Below are 23,295 nucleotides of genomic sequence, written 5' to 3'. Positions count from 1 at the left end.
GGAGGCAGTCTCTTTAGAGATATTTGGGGTCCTGATAGGACTCCACACTGCCCAGCCCAGAGCAGGGTGTGTGTGTGTTTGTGTGTGTGTGTTGCACACTAGGAGAAACAACATAACATGAGCATTAAGAGCTCTGGGCTGGGCGCGGTGGCTCATGCCTGTAATCCCAGCACTTTGAGATGCCGAGGCAGGCGGATCACCGGAGGTCAGGAGTTCGAAACCAGCCTGACCAACATGGCAAAACTCTGTCTTTACTAAAAATACAAAAATTAGCCAGGCATGGTGGCACACGCCTGTAATCCCAGCTACTCAGGGAGGCTGAGGCACGAGAATCGCTTGAACCCGGGAGGCGAAGGTTGCAGTGAGCTGACATCATGCCACTGCACTCCAGCCTGGGTGACAGAGTGAGACTCCATCTCAAAAACAAAACAAAACAAAAACTCTGAAGTCAGACTGGCAGGATTCAAGTCTTGGCTCTGCCACTCATCCGATTTGGGGCAAGTTTCTTATCCCGTCTAGCCTTAGTTTTCCTACCTACAAAATAGCCTTCTGTCTCCTCCAGTTGCAGTGGAGCTTACAAGAGCTGGTACCTGGCACATAGGACGTGCGCAAGCATGCTGCTGTTTTACAATAGGACAAGGGGACGGAGGGAGTTCCCCACGGCCTAAGGCAATCACCGATGCTGTGGACTCTAGTCAGGGTTCACCCCATCCCTGCTCTCCAGCCCCACTGTCCGGGGGGTGACATCAGACTACGGAGCGGCTGGCTAGACAATGGAGCAGAGTGTCCTAGCAGGCTGGAGGTGCTGGGGGAGGCGGAGGGTGGAAAAAGCCAAGCTGCCCTGCCCCAGAGGCCCTGGGGGCTGATCTGGAGACAGGCCCGCTCGGGAATAGTCCTCTGAAGAGGCAAACTGAGGGTCAGAACAGGAAGGAGAGAGCCAAGTGGGTGCAGGAAGGTGAGGAGTGAGTATCCAGGGCAGACAGGAGACAGGTGAGTCTAGCCTGGATAAAGGGGCCTCAATTTCGTTATGTCCCAGGACCTAGGCTGGGGCCAAATCTCCTCGATTTGACTGAGCAAAGCAACCTCCCGAGACTGGCTGGCAACCAGGCCCTGGGAGCTCCATCCACCCTTTCCTGAGCTCCTGCTAGATGCCAGGCTTTGTATAAGGCCTAGGGTAACAGAAAGAAAGGACCCCGGCTTGGTTTCAAGGATAGAAAATGAATGCCAGGTAGTAGGTCAGAAGTTATAATAGGTTCGAAACCACCCATTCCCTAAGTGCCCATATTTTCTGAACCCCAAATCAGTCTATAGTGGGTGTTCACTTTGGATATACTCTGTGAGCAATAGAATAAAACATTTGAAACTGCAAAGCCCCAGACCCAGAAACGTGAGGGGAGGCCTTTCGGTTCTGGGGTCTGTTCTGAGCTGAGAGCTGCCGAGGGTGGGAGGGGGCAGGGGGCAGCCACTCGGCGCCAGGTCCTCCTTCCTGGGCTTTCCAGTTGTACCCGGTTAATAGGGCCCAGCTCCCAAGCCTCTTGTAGAGTGATCTTACTACCCTCTGTTTTACAGATGAGGAAACAGAGACTCAGAGAGATTGCAGGTAAGCAGCAGAGCCCAGATTCAGACCTAGGCAAGTCTGACTTCACGGGCTGAGTTTTCTCGCTCTGCCAGGTGGGGCTGGAGTGTGACAGGGATCCCAGGTCTGGGGCTGTATGTGGGCAGTGGTCTGGTGAGAGGGAGCCCCACAGTGGGATTTTCCTGAACCTCACACCTTCATCAGGGAAGCAGACGTGCGACTGGGGGCCCTGCTGTCCCGGCCCAGCCGCACGTTCAGGTCCCGTATCTGTGCAAATGGGGTTGAAAAGGGAGGTGACAGGTGCTGGCATGTGGACAATTGCCCCCACAGCTTGCATGGTAATGTGCTAGAGCTCGAGCTGGAAGCAGGTGCACAGAATGTCCCTGGGCCTCTGAGGACAGGGTGAGACCATCCTCACCCTCCTTGGTTACCTGACCTGAGCAGGGTGGGGACCCGTGGCTGCTGCTCACACCACTTTGGTGGCTAAGTTTTGTGCTCAGTGTTCTCCCGATGTCAACTTGAGAAACCCTGGATCCTCTGCCTCTGTTCTTCCTGCTCCCGACCTCCTCCTCACGCCCTTATTGCAGATGAGATGGGCTGGGCCAGGCTAGGCTGGGCCTGGATTCTTCTTTTGGGTTGGGGCCCGGGAAAACACAGGCAACTGTGCAGGGAAGTGGTGTCTCTTGGGGACAAACAGGCTGTGGGGTGTGCCATGGCTGAACACGTCTCCATGCCTCGGGAGCTGCTGTGGGCCTTCCTGGGGCCAAAGGCACTGCTGTCCCCATTCTGGGAACCAAGCCCCACACCCTGACCTTACCTAGGGCTTTGACACAGTCTTCCTGGGACCAGGCCTCACCTAGAGGCCCCCTAGTGAGTCACAGCTGGCAGCTGTCCTTGCCTGCTCCGTTCCCATCTCCTCCACCTTCTTGCCTCTGAACTTGACACCATTGGTGGAAGGGTCTGGACACTGCACCTGACCAACTGTGCTGTCACGCTGGGGTGAGAGCAGGTTACAGATCAGAACACCTGGGCTGGGCCACCCACCCCTTCCTGCCTTTGTGTTCTTGGCAAGTCACCTCACCTCTCTGACCTCAGCTTAACTCACGGAGCTGAGCTGAGCATCAGTTAAGGGGCCTTGGAGCTGCAAAAGGGGCCCACATATTACCAGCATCTCTCCATCCCCCAAAGATGCTCCCAGTGGCCAGACTTCCCTCTTGTAAGGTCACCAAAGCAAATGACACTACCCACCTCCCTCCCTCCCCCATCATAACCCAAACGAATCACACAAGAAGGGCAGTTGATACTATGAGCTTTTAATTGGTATCTTCCTCCTTATATTTGAGGAAGAAATGAGGACGCCCCACAAGGACCTTCTTCAGCTTGGAGGGGCAGGGACAGAATAGGGCAGAGGAGGGTAGTGGGGGCAGATGCAGAGCTGACAGTGGGGTTTCCCAATCCTCTCTCTAGCGGCCGGAGGGCCAGGATCACACAGGAAGCCTGGAAACACAAAAAAATCATCGACGAGCTGCCCCATCCTTTGCCCAGGTCTCACAAAGAGCCTCCTTCCAGGTTCCCGTGGGTTCCTGAGGCCGCCACCAGATGGGAGCATCGAGCAATGTTCCTTTTCCTTCTCCAGCCACCTCCCTCCTCTCTCAGTCCTTTACTACCCCCTTCCCTGCCTGCTTTTTCATCTTCCTTCATTTCTCCTGCTACCAAACAGATCCCGGGGCTTTTGTCTGATCTATGTCCAAGGAAGCCAGTGGCATATGAAAGCACACCATCCATCAGACAGAAACTCCAGACAGTTGTGAGTCCAGCGGAGGGGTGTGTCTGGGGGCCCTGGGATGAGGGTATCTGTGTTGGGGCTCTAAGAACTGGGCAGTGACTAACATCTCTCTGTGGTCCTGGCACCCAGTAAGCATTCAGAGAACATCCACTGAGTTGAACTGAACTAGATCGACAAACCAGTGCAGCCAAGGAGAAGAAATACGTATTCTGCTGGTGCCGTGGTGGCCTCAGAGGCAAGCCGACCACCACCCAAAGGCACCCGTTTCAGCAGCTTCCATTCAGGGCAAGTCATATGCTGGGCTGGACTCTGCCGCCAGCTTGCTATTGCCCATGCCCCTAACTCCGAGTGGCCTCTGCTCACAGCAATCGAGGAGGCTGTGGGAAAGGTGTCCCATGAGTCCCTGGGCCCTCCTATCTCTCCCCACCTACCCCCTTTGCAAGCCAATCCATTCAACACTTCCTGTGACCAGCACACAGCGGCCATCTCTTAAACCCTTGCTGGGAGACTGGCTAGGGGAGGGTGACTGGGAGAGCCAGGGGTGTGGGGCCAGTGAGGGGAGGAGGAGAATATCTGAGCAAGCTGGTGGTCACGAGTAACTTCCATGTGTCCACTGACTTCTCCTCTTGTCCCCCTCAGCTAAAAAAGATATGAACCCCTTATTGAACCCAAAGAATAGATGCTGATCTGAGACCTTCTGTGGCTTTTTCTGTGACACGTCGGTTGATGTTTCCCTGCTGTCCCAAGCCTGTCTAATCTGACCTCGCCCAGTTTGCTGAGAGGCATTGGGGTGGATAGGTGGAAGAAGGCCAGGGAGGGGGCAGGGAGGGGTGGGGGGCTTCAGTGCAAGCCAAGAAACTCCTTGAGGACGTCACAGGTCTTCTTGTGCATGACCTCACGAAGCTTCCTGACCCGGCGGGCACTCGATGCGCCCACAAAGCTATCGGGGCGCAGCATGGCCATGCCGCCGTCCACCTCCCCCATGATGATGAGCGGCATCTCGCTCACGGTCACGTTGGGGCAGGGGCATGCCCAGTCCACGTGAAGCAGAGTGACCTCCAATGGCTCCTGGCCCAGGAACTTGAGGCCCATTTTCTCATCCTTTAGGACCTCATCCACAGTCACCAGGGCGCGGCCCGAGTCAGGCTCCTCGGTCAGCTCAGAGACTCGGCCCAGGATGACAAAGTCGCTGCGACAGAAGCTGGTAACGAGCTTCTGCCGAGGCTTGCAGGCCCGACAGCGCTGGTTCCCCCTGGGGAAGGGGCACGACTCCTCACAGGCCTCACGGCTCTCAAAGTTGTTGCCATTGCCCTCGCAGCCACCATAGACAAAGGACTGGCACTGGCCCGTCTGGCTGTTGTAAGCCCAGCGAGGCGCGTAGGCTTTGCAGGGCCCCTGCAGGGCGGGCAGGCTGCACGCGGCCAGCGGCCCGCTCATGCAGGCCAGCATGCAGGCCTCATAGGTCTCAAAGTGGTTGAGGTTACGGTGGCAGTGGCCGAAGGTGAAGGTCAGGCAGTTGTTGGCCTGGGCATCGAAGTGCCAGCGGGTCTGCTCTTCGCCACAGTCCTCACTGTCTGGGGGCTTCAGGCACTCGGCCGCCGGGAAAGCCGTGCCATTGGGGCTGCTCTCTGAGGTGGCTGCAGCCTGATGACCCCTGACCACCGACAGCGGGAAATCAGCCCTCAGGACCCCAGCCACGTTCCGGGCCGTGCAGGTGTAGATCCCAGCATCCTGCAGCTGGGCGTTATAGATGACCAGCTGGGCAATGTTGGTGACCACCACGTTGCCACGCACATGGTTGGGCCGCATGACCACATTCTCCCGATCCTCCAACTGCTTCTCCCAGGTGATCTCAGGCCGGGGCCGGCCCACCACATCACAGAGGAAGCTCACTGTCTCACCCATGGTGACCGACTGGTGCACAGGGTTGTTGAGCAGCGCAGGGGCCGCCATGTCCAGCTCAGGGGTCTCTGGGGAGGCTGTGGTGGGGTGCATGGTGGTCTCAGGTGGTGGGGGGCTGGTGTTGGGCCAGGTGAAGTGATAGCGGCAGGTTACAACGGCCAGTGTGATGCCTTTGGAGCAGGCCTCGGCATCCATGTAGCAGCGGTTATAGTAGGTGAGGCCGTCCGAGGCGCAGGTAAAGCTGGGCTCCTTCTCACAGCGGTCTTTGCACTTACACACGGGCTGGCCATCCCAGATGTCACACTCAGAGCCCTGCTGCAGACACATGAAGTGGTCACATGTGGCCTCCTTGGGCATGCCCACTGGGCCCTTCTTCCCTTTCACGTCCATGTAGCGGGCCGCCACGCAGCTCTTGGTCCCACATACGTTGGGGCAGCACTTCTCATAGGTCTCACACTCCTGAAAGAGCCAGAGAGAGTGGCCTGAACAGGGAGAAGGAGGAAAGGAGGGGCTCCCTATCCTACCCCATGGTTTGTGGGGAGGAGAACTAACATGTACTCACCATCTAGTGGGAGCAAAACACTTGAAAATAATAACGAATGCATACGTAGCATCTCCTACATGCTAGGCCCCTGTGTAAGAACTTTGACATCTGTGAGCTTGCTATGCTCATCACAAGCCAGAGGTGGGTATAGCCATTATCTCCACTCCACAGATGATGACTGAGGCACAGAGAGGCTAAGTAACTTTCCCAAGGTCACTCAGCTAGCAGGGTAGGAAGGGGTGGGCCAAAGACTCTAAGAGGAAAAGTTTTCCTACAACCATTTTACAGATGAGACTGCAGAGACTCAGAGAGGTGATGCCCAAGTTCACAGAGACGGGAAGTGGCAGAACAAGGCTCCAAGCTCCCAGTGGAAGGGATTGAGAAATGGAGTTTTTTCTCCTGCATCATATAGCACAAATGAGGTCTAGCTTGAACAAGTAGGCCTGCCTTTCATCTCTTTCCTATGGGAGTGAGGATGCCTTGCTGACTGGAAGAGATCGCATCAGAGGTTAAGAGGGGAATGCCCCTGGGACTTTATCCGAGATGATCCACACCTCTCCTCCCCTCAAGGAGACCGACACACACGGGGAACAGAGGCTGTGAGAGGGCCCAGATCGATCCACAGCCAACAGTCAGGGCAGGCGTGACGGGCCCCACACGCCAGGTCTCAGAGCCACAGGCTGTGCCAGGCCCAGGTATCAGCTCCGTGTGGGACCTTTCACGGGAAAAGCAACAAGAAAAAAAGTCCCCTTGTGTGGCAAAGGTCAGCAAGGCCGTCAGCGAGGACTTGCCAGGCTGTAATCCCCTCTGATATTCTGTGGAGCCACGTAAAGCATTAGTTTAATTCCTCGAAATTAGCAACATGCTCCTGGAGCTGACACAAACAAGGATTTCACGTGGTGTTTTCGACAATAACACATCGTACCCACTTGGCAGGCAGGCAACGCTCCTAATCCTCCACCAGGTAGTAACTCTGTGAATTACTCCCCACTAGGGCTGGCCTCTTGTCATTCCAACTTTTATTTCAGCCTCTTTGACATTCCACATCAGCTAAGAGGGGGAAAATATCCCCCCACCCTGGCTGCATGGAGCCTGCCTGCTTGACTTGTTTACTGTTCTACCCGTTTCGGCTCAGAATGGGGACTTTGTTTTGCAGCCCTTGTTTGGCATAGTCTTCTAGGCCACACCAGGGGAGGCTTTGGGACAGGGATGGGCAGCTCTCAGAGCTGGGTCTAAGGGAGAGAGACCCCGCAGGGAATGGAGAGCAGGAGAGGGAGTAGGAGCAGGAGAACCTTCTCCTTGGCCTGAGCCTCATCCCATTCCCTAAGACATTCAGGACCTGGAGGTCCATGAAAGCCTGGGTCCTTGGGCACCAGAGGGAAGGTACTTCTGGCCACAGGGAACCTACAGGGGGTCCTTAGAACACTTCTGTGTAAGGGGGCCAGAATGTCCCCAAGGGCTGTCTGGATACCCAGCCTTCCACAGGTGCCTTCTCTCCAAGACACACAAAATCCACCAGAGTCTCACCATCCCCAAGCCCTACCTGGTTAATCAGGCCAGCCTGTGCCTGCAAATGTAGCCAACTAATGGCATGACCTTGGCCAGATGGGAGCAGCCACCACTCCTCCTGACTTCTTATCTTCCTTTCACTTGGCACCACCATTGCCCAAGGGGAGCATCTGTCCTGGGAGGCCTAAGAATTGTCCCTGGGCACTGTGAGGTTGAGGCCACCCTCTCCAGGTCAGCCCTCTGCTCTCCTGTGGGTAACCAGGCATCTATGGGGGAACCAGTGTCTCTCGTGTTCCCTGGGGATGCCCCAGCCTGGATCTGGAGCCTTGGGAGACTCCGTGCTGCCCTCAGAGCTGGCCAGACTGGGCAGGAAATAGCTCTGCCTGGAGCAGGTGTAGGTCCCACAGCCTGTTGCCCCAGAGGGGGTGGGCAGGAATGGCCCTCGGGAATGACTCGGGAGCTAGAAGAGAACTGGCCCTGCCCTGCAGCAGTGCCCTCTGATACAGAGCAGAAGGCAGGACCAAGGACGCTGGGAGGCTGAAACGTGGTCTCCTTCCTCCCAGGGACACCAGAGATCCATTCAGAGCTGCTCCTGCTTGGCCTGCCGTCAGCCTGGTCTTCTCTCAGGCTCAGGGTCCAAACTCCTGAGGAGGTGGCCTGGAGTCCAATGCAATCAAAGCTTTCTTGTTAGACATGAGTTCCAAGCTCATCGTTCCCTCACTGGCCATGACAACTGTGCCCTCCGTGCCTGGCTCTGTGTCCACTCTCTCACCTGTGAATGGGCTGCTGATGCCCACCATGCTGACATGTCATGCCAACATACACGACGTGCCCGGCACGGTGCTGGCCACAGTAGCCCTCAGCACGCATGAAGGAGGAATCCTCGGGCTCCAGTCCCTGATGAACTGGGACATCGCTCCCACCTCTCCTTCCAGGCTTCGGTGTTAATAGACAGGATGGTGCCCTGTTTCTCTCCAGGTGAACGGGGCCTGTGTTCCTTCACCTTCCTAGGACCTGCAGGGCACTCCTGCATGGTCCCCACCCTGTGGCTCCCACCCCCATCACTCACAGGCTCATATGGTCCATCTCTGGCTTCTGGACCCCACTCACCTGGTCCGCCTCACACTCCAGCTTCTGGATCCCACTCACCTGGTCCATCTCACACTGTGGCTTCTGGACCCCACTCACCTGGTCCACCTCATACTCCCACTTCTAGATCCCACTCACCTGGTCCGCCTCACACTCCAGCTTCTGGATCCCACTCACCTGGTCCATCTCACACTGTGGCTTCTGGACCCCACTCACCTGGTCCACCTCATACTCCCACTTCTAGATCCCACTCACCTGGTCCGCCTCACACTCCAGCTTCTGGATCCCACTCACCTGGTCCATCTCACACTGTGGCTTCTGGACCCCACTCACCTGGTCCGCCTCACACACCGGCTTCTGGACCCCACTCACCTGGTCAACCTCACACTCCCACTTCTAGATACCACTCACCTGGTCCATCTCACATTGCGGCTTCTGGACCCCATTCACCTGGTCTGCCTCACACTGTGGCTTCTGGATCCCACTCACCTGGTCCATCTCACACTCCTGCTTCCGGACACCACTCACCTGGTCCGCCTCACACTGTGGCTTCTGGACCCCACTCACGTTGTCCTCCTCACACTCCCACACAGTCCCTCCCCGACGGCTCCCACCCCCGTCACTCACAGGCTCACGTGGTCCATCTCTGGTCTCTGGACCCCACTCACCTGGTCCGTCTCACACTCCCGCCTGCAGGTGCTCTGTGCGTCCACCCAGAGGTTGGGATTCATGTCGTTGGGGCAGATGCCGGCGTGGGAATAGCGGATGGGCGGCAGCGCCAGGCTTCGCGGGGGCACCCCGAGCAGTAGCAGCAGCAGCAGCAGCGCTGCCACCTGCTCCCAGCGAGACCAGAACCGGCGACACCTTGGGGCCCACATGGTGCAGGCTGGGGCGGCTAGAGACCTCCCCTGAAACGATGCCAGGGTCTGGGGCCCACCAGGGCCTTCTTCTCAGGGGCTGCAGACACCTGCCCTCCCCACCCCAGCAGGTTTCCTGCTCAGGCTGCTGCTCAGGCTGCTCTGCCGCTGCTGCCTCCACCAAGTCAGCACAGCCTGCCGGGCTGTGCGGCTTCAGATAAAAGAAAGGTCTTTAGAAGGAAGCTCCCTCTCCTGAGTGTGCAGGGAGAGGAGCCACAGCAGGGGCCCGCGCCCGGATTTATATCCTGGGCGCGCCACCCGAGTGGGAGCCAGCTAACCTGATGCCTGTCACAGGCAGGCTGCTGGCGCCTCTGTCCCGTGGCTGATCACAGACTTATTGCAGAAGGGGGGAAAAAAAAAAAAAGAAGCTGGAAGCAGTTTAGGCAGCGTATCTGGCACGGTGGGACACCTGCTTGTTTTTGACTCCAGGAGGCCTTTAACCCCTTCAAGGGCCAGAAATGGCATGTGCTTTGCGGGGAGCTGGCTCCAGGACACGCAAGCTCACTCTGAAGGAGGGCTTGTTTCCCTTTCCCCCACCTCCTTGGGGCCGGGCCCCCTCCTCCCCTTTGGCCACCTCTAAAGAACACACAATCGCTTGTTACGAGGAGGGACCTGCAGCCACCGGGTTAGCATCGCCCGGCTTGATAGTACATTTGAGAGCAAATGACGTGGAAAAACAACAAGTTCACGGCCATTCCAGGGCGGGCCTGCGCCGCGCTGTGCCCTGTAAGCCGACTCCCACCCCGGCCCCGGCCCTTTGTGGGGGGTGTGCGCACGGACAGCTCTGTATCTCTGTGTCCAGGGCAGTTTGCGTCTTAAGTTCCAACTTCAGTTAATTTTCCCCAAATCATTCCAGAGACACATACCAGATATGCTCTGGCCCCGCCGGCGGCTGGGACGGATCACATTCCTCCCTCTTCCATCGACACACCGAGAAAACCTCCGCGGTCACAGTGTCTCAGGATTGTGCCGGAGTCCAGCTGCCCTCGCTGACGACCACAGTGGCTGCTCTTCAGTGAGCTCCTTCTGACTGCCAGCCTTGTCTGGCCTCCCCCACTTCCCAAAGGAGAAGGTCTGTGGTCGAAGAGGGCGAGCGACTTGTCCAAGGTCGCACAGAGTGAGCAGTCCTGGTGGTACCAGCTGCCAGATGCACTGGGCTCTTCACACGTGTGGCTTCTCTGAACGCATCATCTCATTTAATCCTCACAACAAACTGCACCTCCATTTCAGATCGGAGGAAAGGACGCACAGAGAGGCTAAGCAACCTGCCCATGTCGCACAGCTACCCCACCACGGTACAGGAAACAGGGACACCAGCTTGCTGGGTGTGGGCAGGGGCCTTTTAAAATCACCCCTCCCCCATCCATCTGCCAGAACTGCTGTCAAGGCACAGCCCAAACTCTGGTTTTCACAGACTGGACAAGAAATTTTTGAAACATCAGGGGCTATATTTGTGGAGGGGCCGGGAAGAGAGCCAGAAGCTGCCAGGGGCTGGGGGCGATTCCTCCCCCATTTGGCAGCAAATGGCTTCTATCTAAAATGCCACAGAGCAGCCTGCAGTCTGAGTGTTTTCGAGTTGGTCACTCGATCCTGGGGGTAGGGGGCGGAGGCACATAGAGCCCCGAAAGAGAGGTACCTTTCCAAGGCCAAACCACAAGGGCCTTGAGGAGCTGCTGTGTCCCGGGGACAGTAGGTGGAGTGGCCCCCACACGCATCAGATACGGAAGGGATCCTGAAGGTAATCTCGCTTTACAGCTAAGGAAACTGAGGCCTGAGCCCAGGCCGCTCCTTCCCCACGTCCACTTTCCCCTTCAAGAACACAGCTCGCCATCTCACAGGACTGTAAAACGGCCACGGGACCCTCGCTTCCACACCCAGACCCTTCCCCTTCCCAGCCGGGCGGGTGCTGCCTTCTCCCCGCCTGAGCTGGTCCCTTCCCGTTGTGCGGCCATTCTGCAGGATCTGTCTTTTCTGCTTATGTCAAATCGCTAATGAAGGGTGTCAGATCCTAATCCTCTAAATTATTGGAATAAACTTCCCTTCGAGGCCAGTCCCCGTAATGAAGCCAGACAGCGGGCGACGCCGGCTGCTTTGAATTCCCCGTAATTTCATCAGCCCGTGTTCCAGCTGCTCCGCGCGGGGGCCTTCACACAGCCCTTGGACAAACGCGGTTTGCGCAGCCTCCTTTGATAGCACAAAGGGACATGGACAGTGACACATTTATAAGCAGGACTTAGAAAAACTGTCACAGCCCCATTAGGCCAGGACAAGTATCCAAGGAGAGGAGGCCGATTTCTGGGCAGTCCCAAGAGACCATTAGAGGGTGTGGGAGAGATGAGAGGGGGTCGGAGGAGGGGAGGCACCGAGCAGAGGTTGGGGGGTGCTGAGGAGGGCAGGAGAGGGGCACACGGCAGGGCAGGGGAAGCTTGGCCATCCTACCCCCACTCCTGGGGCTGATGGAGAAAGCCCCCACACCCAACCTGGTCCTGTCTCAAGCCACGGACTTCTCCTTCCCGGGCCCCATTCCTGGACGTTCTACTCTGAGAACTCTCAAAGCAGCATCGGGAAAGAGAGGAGCCCAAAGCACTCTGACTCTCCCTCCAGCCCTTCCAAGTCTCCCACCAAAACACAGCTCAGAATAATAAATAACATCTGATCGGCCTGGAGCCCACACAGTGTTTTCACCTGCACGTTGCTGCTGACCCCACGGCAGCCCCAGGAGGGAGCTCCCTAGCGCGGGAGAGGAAACCGAGTCACAGAGAGGTTAGGCTGGGCCCTCCTCCTGCCCACCCCGGGCCTATGGCCTCCACACACCCCGTGCAAGCTTCCAGCCCCTCCAGAAAGCGACCCCCAGCCCATGCTGGCTGCCCCGCCCACTGGCTTGTTTATAAGCTGTTTGGGAGCGCTTTGAAGTCTTCTCCTCCCTCCCAGAGGCCCTTGGAACTGGCTCTGGATCTGCCTCCTTCTCTCTCTCCTCTTGGTGTGTCTGTGTGTCTGACTCTGTGTCCCTCACACTCTTCCCTGTGGGTGGTGTGGGCCCTACCCTCACCAAACCCACGGTACTGAAGGTGGGCCCAGCGGGAGCGGCTCAGTGGCACATGCCCACTGTCCACCGGGCCTCCTCCACTCAGGCCACTGGGAGCAGAGGCTGGGCTGGGTCTCCTGAGCAGAGGCCTGGCCTCGGGCGTGATCTGCCTTTTCCCCTTTCCCCAAGGACACCAGGCACAGCTCTCCTGCTACTCAGAATGAGAGGTCAGAGAGGGCTGGGCTTGGCCCCATCTTGGAAGGGCCCCTCCATCCCCCACCATTGTCACAGGGTGGAGAACCATGGATTCTTCACACTGCCAGGGTGGGTTCAAATCTGCTCTAGGAGCCGTGGGAGGAGGTCACCAGGTCACTCTCAGTGACCCTTGACCTCAGGTTCACCCTGACATTAACAACTCCTGAGCCGCTAGGGTCTTGACGGGACAGCACAGCTGATACCATTTCCCAAGTCAGCCAGCCCCCAGCAGCCGCGATGGGGAGGTACAGAGGTGCCACAAGAGTATCTTGGGTGCCACGTGGCTTATGCACACCCCACACCCACACTCCTACCTCACACTGCACCTGCTCCCTCTATTTCTCTCCACAAAGGTTTTTTAGAGCACCTACGGTGTGCCAAGTTCTGGGCACATCGGAACCAATAACTGGCCAGGCATGGTGGCTCATGCCTGTAATCCTAACTCTTTGGGAGGCCAAGGTGAGCAGATCACCTGAGGTCAGGAGTTTGAGATCAGCTTGGCCAGCATGGTGAAACCCCATCTCTACTAAAAATAAAAATAAAAAAAAATAGCTGCACATGGTGGCGTGAGCCCGTAGTCCCTGCTACTTGGGAGACTGAGACAGAAGAATTGCTTGAACCCAGGAAGCGGAGGCTGCAGTGAGCCAAGATCACGCCACTGTACTCCAGCCTGAGTGGCAAAGCGAGACTCCATCTCAAAAAAAAAAAAAAAAGAAAATAACAACAATCTTTGTCCACAGGGAGGGTACCGTCTAGTCTAGAAAGCCAGCATGCAGAGATAAGAATGGTGAATGCTGGTGGGGAGTCCTCTCAGGGCTGGGGAACAGAGAGGAGGGAGAGACCTGGGGCTGGCTCTCGCACGACCATGACATTGGGTGGGGCCCAAGCCTGGGCAGAATCTCAAAGGAGGGAAGGCATTTCCTACACCTCTCCTTGGAAAGGCCTGGCCCACACCACAGTCTCCTCGGCCAAGGCCCTCCCTCCGCGGGGCCCAGGCCTCCGGAAAGGGGAGGTGATAGGGACGTCAGCAGGTTTAGGAGATGGGGTGGGGGTGGGAGCTGCAGGTCTTGCAGGCGCGGCACAGGGTGGCCCCAGCAAAGTACACCCCAGCGGCCCATTCTGGTCTACCCTGCTTGGGCCCCAGATCTGAGCCAGCCACATTTTCTCCCAAATGGATGGGGGGAAACCAGCCCCCCAGGAGCCCCTCCCGCTCTGATCTTGGTCATTTAAACATGTTTGGGGAGGAGGGGCAGGAATTGGGGTGCTGAGAAGGAAAGGAAGTCCTAGCCAGGGTGCTCAGATGGCAGCCCAGGTTGCCTTGGCTAAAGGCAGTGATTAGTCAGACTCAAGCCGGAGAATTCAATAAAGCCAGCGGCTCATTACCCAGCTGGGACCCCCTGCCCGCGCGGCCTCGGGCCTGGGTTGCATTACAGGACCGCGTGAACTCTCCCCTCTGAGTGAGGCTGCACCGGGCCTTGGAATAATTATGGGGCCTCAGCAGATGGTGGAGACGGATGGGGGAGGCCTTCAGCTGTGAGACACGTGATCCATCTGCATCTGTGTGGAACAGGACACGGGAGGGTCCTCACTGAGCAGAGAGGTAAAGCAAGGGCAGTCCTGAATCCACATCTGAGAATTATGGGGTTGTCAGGGGTGGGGCATGGCCCAGTGTCCCGGGCCAGCTAGGCCTCCTTGGAGACCCTTGCCTGGCCCGGGGGGGTCTACAGGTGCAGTGAGCCCCTGGAATCTGGAGTCCTGGAGTCTCTGTGTCAGGAACCCAGAAGAGGAGGCACCTCTGGGACAGCACAATTCTGGGCTCCTTTGGCATTCAAATGTCTTCCTAGAAGATTTGGAGCCTGTCTCGGGCTCCTCACCCACTCGGGAAGCTACATGGTCTTGGTTTGAGCACTGTGCAAGGAGTCAGGAGCCCTGGGCTCTCTTCCTGCTTTGCCATCATCTCACTGTGGGACCCCCTCTATTTCCCCATCTGAGGCCCCTTCCAGCTGCCTCTTCTGTGATCCCATGTCCTGACTCCTCCAGCTTTGCCTTGATGGAATCAGCTTCAAAAAGCCCTGTGGAGCTCTCAGCCAAGACAAACACCAGAGTGCAGAAGCCACAAGGCTGTGGGGCTGCGGGGCTGGGGCCAGCTCCACCACCCTGCTCTGCTGGGACACAGCGAGGGCGGGTTTCCACTCTTCCCAGGCCTGTAGGAATACCACAAACAGAGGCATGGCCTCTATCCCCCTCGGGTCTCCCCCACCCTAAAAGTTTCCACAGCTACTCTACTCTTCACACTCTGGAGCTCCTGCCTTCCTTCTTTCTCCCTTTGAATGACAGGGAAATGAGAAGGTGTGAGACTCTTGGGCCTCTCTGCTTCCCTGCCTGCTGCTGAGCAAAGAAGGACAACATCTCTAAAGCTAATTGCACCCCTCACACTCATTCCAACAATACAAAATATCCAATGAAGGCTGGGTGCAGTGGCTCACACCTATAATCCCAGCACTTTGGGAGGCCAAGGCGGGCAGGTCACCAGAGGTCAGGAGTTCGAGACCAGCCTGGCCAACATGGTAAAACCCCGTCCCTACTAAAATTACAAAAATTAGCTGGGCGTGGTGGCGCGTGCCTGTAATCCCAGCTACTTGGGAGGCTGAGGCATGAGAATCACTTGAACCCGGGAGGAGAAGGTCATGGTGAGCCGAGGTCACGCCATCATGCTCCAGCCTAGGTGACAGAGCGAGACCCTGACTCAAAAATAAAAATGAAAAATAAAAACAAAATGTCCAATGGCTGTGTGGGGGTGAGCTGGAGTAGGGATGAGAAACAGGTTTCTTTCTGACTGATCATGATTCCAAGACTTGTGGCTTAAAGACAGCTTCCCCACGCCTTCAAGAGCAGGCCAAAGCATTGTTCTGGACTGCCGTGACCTTCTGCCTCCATTTACTTCCCTGGTCTTACCATCTGTCCCTTTCACTCTCAAACTCTGGAGGCTGCCATATCGCGCTTTCAGACCTTTAAGAGCTCCTCACAGTACTCCCCCTTCCACCTCACACAGACATTGTCCTCTGTCCTAAACACTCTCTCACCCCTGGCCTGCTCTGTCTTCTCCCAGCCCACTGCTTCCTGACCGATTTCAGAAACAACTTCTTTCAGGAGGCCTTCCTGACTTTAAATGACAAAGCAAAACAAAACAAAAGCCGCAACTGGGTTGTAAAATACGGGTAAAGTTTAAATGTTCAATGTAGTGGGTTGAGTGGTGCTCCCCCCAGCCCCCCACCCCTGCCAAATATATCCATGTTCTAACCCACAGAGACAGTGACCGTGACCTTGGGAAAAGGGTCTTTGCAGATGAGATTTGGGAAAAGGGTCTTTGCAGATGAAATTAAGGATCTTGAGATGAGATCATGCTGGATTACCGAGGAGGGCCCTAAATCCAATGACGGGTATCCTTATAAAAGGCAGAGACAGAATCGAGACACAGAAGACGGGAAAGTCTTGTGCAGATAGAAGCAGAGATTAGAGCGATGCACCCACAAGCCCAGGAACACCTGAGCCCCCAGAAACTGGAAGAGGAAAAGGACTCTCCCCTAAAGCCTCTGGAGGGAGCGTGGCCCTGCCAACACTGTGGTTTCATACCTCCAGCCTCCAGAACTGTCAGATAATAAATGTGTGCTGTTTTAAGCCACCAAGTTCCTGGTCATTTGTTTAGCAGCCCCAGGAAATGAACACACCTGCCTAAAATTCTCCAATGGCCTCTCCTGGTCATAATTAAATGCCACAACTACCCTGAGCTGCCCCTTTTAGGTTCCTGCTAAAAATACTCAATGAATTGCCTCTCCAGAGTGTGTTCTCTTTTCTGAGAACTGTGCTTTTTTAAGCACTGAGTTGACAGACTCAGTGCTTTAAAAATCTAAAAAAAAAAAGCTATGGTTGTTGTTGTTTTACTCTTTAACAGAAACCGAGAGTCAAGATGATCTCAAAGTAAAGACACTCCGTAGAATGTGGGTGGTCAGAACAGTTGAGAACTGAGCTCAGCTGCTGAGAGCTTTGATTCACCCCACAGGGCCAGAGGTGCTGGTGGCATGGGACAAACTTTTGGGAGGCAGGTACTGAGCCCCCCGCTGAGCTGAACGGAGCCCACCTCTAATCTGTAATCCTTAGGGAAGAAAACCCCTCTGTGACAGGGGCTTTCAAATGTTTTGACTGCAACACATAGTGAGGAATACTTTTTTTCTTTTTTGAGATGGGGTCTCGCTCTGTCACCCAGGCTGGCGCGATCTCTATTCACTGCAACCTCCACCTCCTGGACTCAAGCGATTCTCCCACCTCCGCCTCCCGAGTAGCTGGGACCACAGGTGCACACCACCATGAGCAGCTAATCTTTTGTATTTTTGGTAGAGATCAGGTTTTGCCATGTTGCCCAGGCTGGTCTCAAATGCCTGGGCTCAAGAGATCGCCTGCCTCAGCCTCCCAAAGTGCTGAGATTACAGGTGTGAGCCACTGCACCTGGCCAGAAATACATTTTTTATTATGATTCAGTACACATATTCATGTAAATAACTGAAACAAAAGTTACACAAAACCGTAGTTGCCCTTTCTATATGTGAGGCACTCCATCCACCTGGTGTGACTTTCCTAGGGCCATCCGTGCAGAGCCGGCAAGACCTGCGGCTCCCACCCCCACCCTGTCTCCTAAACCTGCGGCCTCCTCTCTCACCTCTACTTTCCAAAGGCCAGGGTCCCATGGAGGCAGGGGCCTTGGCCAAGGAGGCTGTGCTTGGGCCAGGCCATTCCAAGGAGAAGTATGGGAAACTCCTTCTTTCCTTTGCATGCAGATTCCAAAAGTCGAAGATCACTTGGGAAAGTCAGGAACAACCCAAGGCCAAGGGTTTGGGGGCTCCTATTGTCATCATCTAAAAAGCCAAGGTGTCAGGATACACAGTTAATATACAAATGTCAGTTGCTTTCCTTTATATCAGCAATGAACAATTGGAATTTGAAATTAAACAGAAACCATTTACATTAACGTAAAAAAATACTTAACGTGTACATCTTTTAAAAATATGTATAAAAGCTATGCGAGAAAAACTATACAACTGGTAAAAGAAACCAAAGAAAATCTAAACATGGAAAGACATGTTCCAGCTGGGTGCAGTGGCTCATGCCTATAATCCCAGCACTTTGGGAGGATGAGGTGGGTGGATCACCTGAGGTTAGGAGTTGGAGACCAACCTGGCCAACATGGCAAACCCTGTCTCTACTAAAAATACAAAAATTAACCAGGTGTGGTGGCTCACACCTGTAATTCCAGCTACTTGGGAGGCTGAGGCAGGAGAATCACTTGAACCTTGGAGGCAGAGGCTGCAGTGAGCCAAGATTAAAAAAAAAAAAGAAGAACGACATGTTCCATGTTTATAGATCAGATTAGATTCAAAATTGTCAAGATGTCAGTTCTTCCCAACTAGATCTATAGATTCACTGCAACCCTGATCAAAATCCCAGGAAACTATTTTGTGACTTCAACAAAATTATTCTAAAGTTTATATGGAAAGGCAAAAAACCAGAAGAGCTAACACAATCCTGAAGAAGGAAAATAAAGTTGGAAGACTGACATTACCCAACTTCAAGACTTACTATATATTAAGCTGCAGAAATAAAGGCAACATGGTATTGGTTAAAGAATAGACATATAGATAAATGAAACCGAATACAGAGCCCAGAAATAGACTCATAGAAATATAGTCAACAGGTCTTTGACAAAGGAGCAAAAGCAATCCATGGAGAAAGAACAGTCTTTTCAACAGACGGTGCTGGGCCAAGTGGACATCCATATGCAAAAAAAAAAAAAAAAAGTCTAGACATAATGGACCTTTACATCTTTCACAAAAATTAACTAAAAATGAATCAAGAGCTAATTGCAAAACACAAAACTATAACATTTCTGGAAGATAACACAAAAGAAAATCTAGGTGACCTTCATTTTGGCAATGACTATTTATTTCTTTCTTTAGAGATGGAGTCTTGCTCTGTCACCCAGGCTGGAGTGCAGTGGCACGATCTCGGCTCACTGCAGCCTTCATCTCCCGGGTTCAAGCAATTCTCCTGCCTCAGCCTCCCGAGTAGCTGGGACTACAGGCGGCCCCCACCACGCCTGGCTAATTTTTATATTTTTAGTGGCAACAGGGTTTCATCATGTTGGCTAGGCTGGTCTCAAACTCCTGGCCTCAAGTTAACCACCCACCTCAGCCTCTCAAAGTGCTGGGATTACAGGTGTCAGCCACCGCGCTTGGTGGCAATGACTTTTTAGATACAATAACCAAAACATGATCGAGACAGAAAAAATTGATGTTACTTTTGCCCTGCAAAAGATATTATTAAGAGAATGAAAGCCTAGGCAACATGGCCAAATCCTGTCTCTACAAAAAATAAAAACATTACCCTGGCATGGTGGCACATGCCTGTAGTCCCAGCTACTTGGGAGGCTGAAGTGGGAGGATTGCTTGAGCACAGGAAGTTGAGGCTGCAGTGAGCTGTCATTGTGCCACTGCACTCCAGCTCAGATGATGGAGTAAGACCCCGTCTCAAAAAAGAAAAGAAAAAAAAAAAGAAAAGACGAGCCACAAATTGGCAGAAAGTGTTTGGAAAACATGTATCTGATAAAGAACTTGTATCCAGAATATGTAAGAACTCTCAAAACTCAATAATAAGAAAATAAATAACCCAGTGAAAAATGGGCAGAATATTTTAACAGACACTTCACCAAAAAAGATATATGAATGGTAAATAATTATAATAAAAGATATTTAACATTGACCGGATGCCGTGGCTCATGACTGTAATTCTAGCACTTTGGGAGGCTGAGGCAGGCGGATCACTTGAGGTCAGGAGTTCGAGACCAGCCAATATGGCGAAACCCCATCTCTACTAAAAACACAAAAATTAGCCGGGTGTGGTGGCTCGCACCTCTAATCCCAGCACTTTGGGAAGCTGAGGCAGGAGAATCACTTGAACCCGGAAGGCGGAAGCTGCAGTAAGCCAAGATTGTGCCACTGCACTCCAGCCTGGGTGACAGAGCAAGACTCTGTCTCAAAAAAAATAAAAAATAAAAATAAATAAAAGATGCTCAACATCATTAGTCATCAGGGAAATAAAAATTGAAAACACAATAAGAAATTATTACACACTAATTAGAATGGTTAAAATTTAAAAGTCTGGTCATACTAAGTGTTGGCAAAGATGTGGAAGAACTGAAACTCTCATACACTGTTCCTGGGAAAATGAGTGCATTTGGTACCATTGTAAATGGTACAATTACTTGGTAAATCAGTTTGCTTCTTAAAAAATTGGGAAGTTAAACACTTCTACCATTCCCCTCCTGGGTGTCTACACAAGAGAAATGAAAGGATGTGTTCACAGAAGGCCTGAACATGAATATTCACAGCAGCTTTATTTTTCATTGCCAGAAACTACAAACAACTTCAAAGGTGAATGTTTAAACACATTGCAGTGTATCCATACAATAGAATACTACTCAGCAATAAAAAGGAATAAGCTACTCATACATGCAATAATACAGATGAATCTCAAAATAATTATACTAAATGAAAGAAAACTAACCCAAAAGAGTATACTTTAAACATGTGCAGTATATTGTTTGTCAGCTGTACATCAGTAAATCTGGTTTTTATTTATTTGCTTGTTTGCTTGTTTGTTTTTTCTTTGAGACAGGATCTTGCTTTGTCACCCAGGCTGGTGTGCAGTAGTACAATTATGACTCACTGCAGCCTTGACTTCCCAGGCTCAAGAGATCTCCCAACTTCAGCCTCCTGAGTAGCTGAGACTACAGGTGCATGCCACCATGCCTGGCTAATTTTTAAATTTTTTTTGTAGAGATGGTCTCATTATGTTACCCAGGCTGGTCTTGAACTCCTGGGCGCAAGCTATCCTCCTATCTTGGTCTCACAAAGTGCTGGGATGACAGGCATGAGCCACCGCACCCAGGCAAATCTGTCTTTTAAAATGTCAAACTCTGACCTTATCTACAAGAGTCTGCCTTTTCTGACCCCATTCAGCCTCTTGGTCCTCATGCTCTCCTTCTCTGCTACCACTCTGCTCCAGCCTTATTGGCCTTCTCTCTCAAACATGCTGGCTGTGTTCTTACCTCAGGGTCTTTATTATTATTATTATTATTATTATTATTATTATTATTATTATTATTTTATTTTTTGAGATGGAGTCTCACTCCATCACCAGGCTAGAGTGCAGTGGCACAATCTCGGCTCACTGCAACCTCCACTTCCTGGGTTCAAGCAATTCTCCTGCCTCAGCCTCCTGAGTAGCTGGGACTACAGGCGCGCACCACCATACCCGACTAATTTTTGTATTTTTAATAGAGATGGGGTTTCACCATGTTGGCCAGGATGGTCTTGATCTCCTGATCTTGTGATCCACCCGCCTCGGCCTCCCAAAGTGCTGGGATTACAGGCGTAAGCCACCACACCCAGCCACCTCAGGGTCTTTGTAATGTGTCCTTTCTGCCCAAAGAGCTCTTCCCATGATGGTGTTTTCTATTCATTCAAAGACTTCCCTCACTTCCTTGTCCATTGTTACACACACACTCACGCCTAGATTTTTGCCACCCTCTCCCCAAGTCACATGACACTCCACCCTGTTTTATTTTCTTAAAAGCATTCACCATTACATCCATTGAGTTTCTTTTGGCTGCAAAAACAGTAATGGAACACCCACCCAAGGTATCTCACATGTCAAGGGGTCCAAGAATGGGCAGTACCACGGCTGGTTCAGCAGCTCAACAACACTAGGGCTTCAGGTCAGCCTTCCTGGAATTCTCTTGACCTTCTCCTCATGGTCACAAGATGGCTGCCATCACTGGAAGTGCTCACATGACAACATTCAAAGGCAGGAAGAGAAGATGTGGCAGAGGCCATTTGTGCACTCCAACCATCCCATGTGCTCCCTACATTTCCCAGCCTTCCTTGCAGTTAGGTTGAAGCCATGTAACTAGTTCTGGCCCATAAACTGTGAGTGGAAGCAATGTTGGTGGTTGGAAGCCCTTAGTAGGAGTTTGAGGTCTTCATGAGTTGCCCGATTCATGCTCCCATGCTGGTATTTGGTGATGCCTCCAAACTATTTACTCTCCACATGAACACCAGTTTTAAGGGTTATAAGATGTATGAGATAAAGATGGTGATAGGGGAAAGCCATTGCTTTGCCTAGGAATAGGTCAGACCACAAGGCATGCACTCAAGTTAGAATTCCGAGCCTTAAAGTAAGCAATTATGGATAAGCCCTGGGAGTGTTCCTATGGGAAGATCTTCCAAATGCAGCCTGAGGCTCTCATCTCTGGTTCAACTGTGCCAAATGAGGCATCCTGGTGGATTAAAGATGGCCACAAATTCTTTGCCGCTCCCTCAGTAGAGAGATGGGCTTTCCTTCAACCTGGCTGGTCCTATTGACTTTGGCCAACAGAATGTAACAGAAGTATAACTTCCAAGTCAAGCTTTAAAGATCATGACTTCCACATTTGCCCCTCTTTGAAGGTTTCCTTTAGAAGCCAGCACTGTGTAAGAAGTCCAGCTACCCTAAGACCACCATGTCATGAGGAAGTCCCAGCTAGCCACGTAGACAGAAATACTTAGTGGATCCATGAAGGGGCACCAAGATACCAGACAAGTGAATGCATTTTCTTGGACCTTCCAGCCTAGCCCAGCTACCAGCTATGTAGTTAAATGAATGATTCCTATAAGGTAGTTGAATGAATGATCCCTAATATTTTTGCCATTAAAAGTAATGGCAAAAACCACAATTACTTTTGCACCAACCTAACATCACATAGAGCAGAAGAACAGCCCAGCTGAACTCTGCCCAAACTTCGGATCCATAGGATCATGAGCAAATAAAATGTTTTATACACTAACTTTTGGGATAGTTTGTTACAGAGCAATATACAGGCTGGATGCAGTGGCTCACGCCTGCAATCCCAACACTTTGAGAGGTCAAGGCAGGAGGATCACTTGAGCCCAGAGTTTGAGACCAGCCTGGGCAACATAGCGAAACCCTTGTCTCTACAAAAAAAAATAATAAATAAAAATAAAAATAAAATTCTTTTAAATTTATTTAAAAACAAAAAATAAAATGTAGAGCAATATACAAATGGAATAGACATGAGGGAACTGTGGTGGAAACCAGTTTCAGCTGCTCAGCTTCACTGCTCATGACGAATCAGGAGGCAGAGACAAGAATCCTGCCAGAATTCTCTTTAGGATATAAGATAGAACATCTGGGGCTCTTCTCAAAGCCTGTGCCCTTAGCAATGCTCATGACAGGGGTCTTGAGTGTGGGCTTAGAGGAAAGCACCATCAGTAGCCTCTAAGCAAACAGACCATGATTATGATCCAGACCATAATGTTGGCTGGAGTAGACTTCAAATATGTGGCCAGCTCAGATTCTAGGGGAACAGCATTAGAGGGTAAAAGCCCTATTTCCCATTAAAAGCAAGGTCAGGTAAGGGCTTCTAGAAGAAGTGACATCAATACTGAGACCTGAAGGATAAATCATAGTTAGCTGGACAAAGAGGGGACAGTATATGCAAAGGCTGTGAGATGGGAGGTGGCACAGAGCATTGGAGGAACTGGAAGACAGCCAGGGTGGCTGGAGAGGAGGGAGTCCACACAA

The 23,295-nt window shown here is 52.7% G+C and overlaps 1 protein-coding gene across 2 annotated transcripts, besides 7 other annotated features; it reads right to left on the bottom strand.

Annotated features, from left to right (window-relative positions):
- Positions 277 to 802: an enhancer, noted in NCBI's record as "H3K4me1 hESC enhancer chr17:48921781-48922306 (GRCh37/hg19 assembly coordinates)". NCBI's record gives its function as "activates a minimal SCP1, AML or CMV promoter by ChIP-STARR-seq in naive H9 embryonic stem cells {active_cell/tissue: H9 hESC(naive)}" and the evidence as "EXISTENCE:reporter gene assay evidence [ECO:0000049][PMID:30033119]".
- Positions 2,869 to 10,638, bottom strand: WFIKKN2 (WAP, follistatin/kazal, immunoglobulin, kunitz and netrin domain containing 2). Of its 2 annotated transcripts, none has more exons than NM_001330341.2 (2): positions 10,190 to 10,638; positions 2,869 to 5,723 (listed from the first exon to the last, which is right to left on the bottom strand). In NM_001330341.2, exon 2 carries the CDS (start codon positions 5,652 to 5,654, stop codon positions 4,203 to 4,205), a length of 1,452 nt encoding a protein of 483 aa, NP_001317270.1. In that variant the 5' UTR covers positions 5,655 to 5,723; positions 10,190 to 10,638; the 3' UTR covers positions 2,869 to 4,202. The 2 variants fall into 2 exon arrangements, with proteins under 2 accessions (NP_001317270.1, NP_783165.1); NM_175575.6 differs by lacking the exon at positions 10,190 to 10,638 and adding an exon at positions 9,075 to 9,636.
- Positions 11,924 to 12,444: an enhancer, noted in NCBI's record as "H3K4me1 hESC enhancer chr17:48910139-48910659 (GRCh37/hg19 assembly coordinates)". NCBI's record gives its function as "activates a minimal SCP1, AML or CMV promoter by ChIP-STARR-seq in primed H9 embryonic stem cells {active_cell/tissue: H9 hESC(primed)}" and the evidence as "EXISTENCE:reporter gene assay evidence [ECO:0000049][PMID:30033119]".
- Positions 12,445 to 12,965: an enhancer, noted in NCBI's record as "H3K4me1 hESC enhancer chr17:48909618-48910138 (GRCh37/hg19 assembly coordinates)". NCBI's record gives its function as "activates a minimal SCP1, AML or CMV promoter by ChIP-STARR-seq in naive H9 embryonic stem cells {active_cell/tissue: H9 hESC(naive)}" and the evidence as "EXISTENCE:reporter gene assay evidence [ECO:0000049][PMID:30033119]".
- Positions 13,125 to 13,995: an enhancer, noted in NCBI's record as "H3K27ac-H3K4me1 hESC enhancer chr17:48908588-48909458 (GRCh37/hg19 assembly coordinates)". NCBI's record gives its function as "activates a minimal SCP1, AML or CMV promoter by ChIP-STARR-seq in naive and primed H9 embryonic stem cells {active_cell/tissue: H9 hESC(naive and primed)}" and the evidence as "EXISTENCE:reporter gene assay evidence [ECO:0000049][PMID:30033119]".
- Positions 13,996 to 14,867: an enhancer, noted in NCBI's record as "H3K27ac-H3K4me1 hESC enhancer chr17:48907716-48908587 (GRCh37/hg19 assembly coordinates)". NCBI's record gives its function as "activates a minimal SCP1, AML or CMV promoter by ChIP-STARR-seq in naive H9 embryonic stem cells {active_cell/tissue: H9 hESC(naive)}" and the evidence as "EXISTENCE:reporter gene assay evidence [ECO:0000049][PMID:30033119]".
- Positions 16,268 to 16,377: a silencer, noted in NCBI's record as "silent region_8712". NCBI's record gives its function as "represses an Ori minimal core promoter by ATAC-STARR-seq in GM12878 lymphoblastoid cells {active_cell/tissue: GM12878}" and the evidence as "EXISTENCE:reporter gene assay evidence [ECO:0000049][PMID:35858748]".
- Positions 16,498 to 16,727: an enhancer, noted in NCBI's record as "active region_12392". NCBI's record gives its function as "activates an Ori minimal core promoter by ATAC-STARR-seq in GM12878 lymphoblastoid cells {active_cell/tissue: GM12878}" and the evidence as "EXISTENCE:reporter gene assay evidence [ECO:0000049][PMID:35858748]".

The sequence above is a fragment of the Homo sapiens genome, chromosome 17 (assembly GCF_000001405.40).
Source record: "Homo sapiens chromosome 17, GRCh38.p14 Primary Assembly".
NCBI lineage: Eukaryota > Metazoa > Chordata > Mammalia > Primates > Hominidae > Homo > Homo sapiens.
This window is presented reverse-complemented; position numbering and strand designations above follow the sequence as displayed.

Excerpts from the sequence above, each read along its gene's own strand:
- WFIKKN2 (NM_175575.6), bottom strand. The coding sequence starts at position 9,284 with ATGTGGGCCCCAAGGTGTCGCCGGTTCTGGTCTCGCTGGGAGCAGGTG. Across the intron at positions 5,724-9,074 it reads GGGAGTGTGAGACGGACCAG|GAGTGTGAGACCTATGAGAA; the intron begins GTGAGTGGGGTC and ends TGGCTCTTTCAG.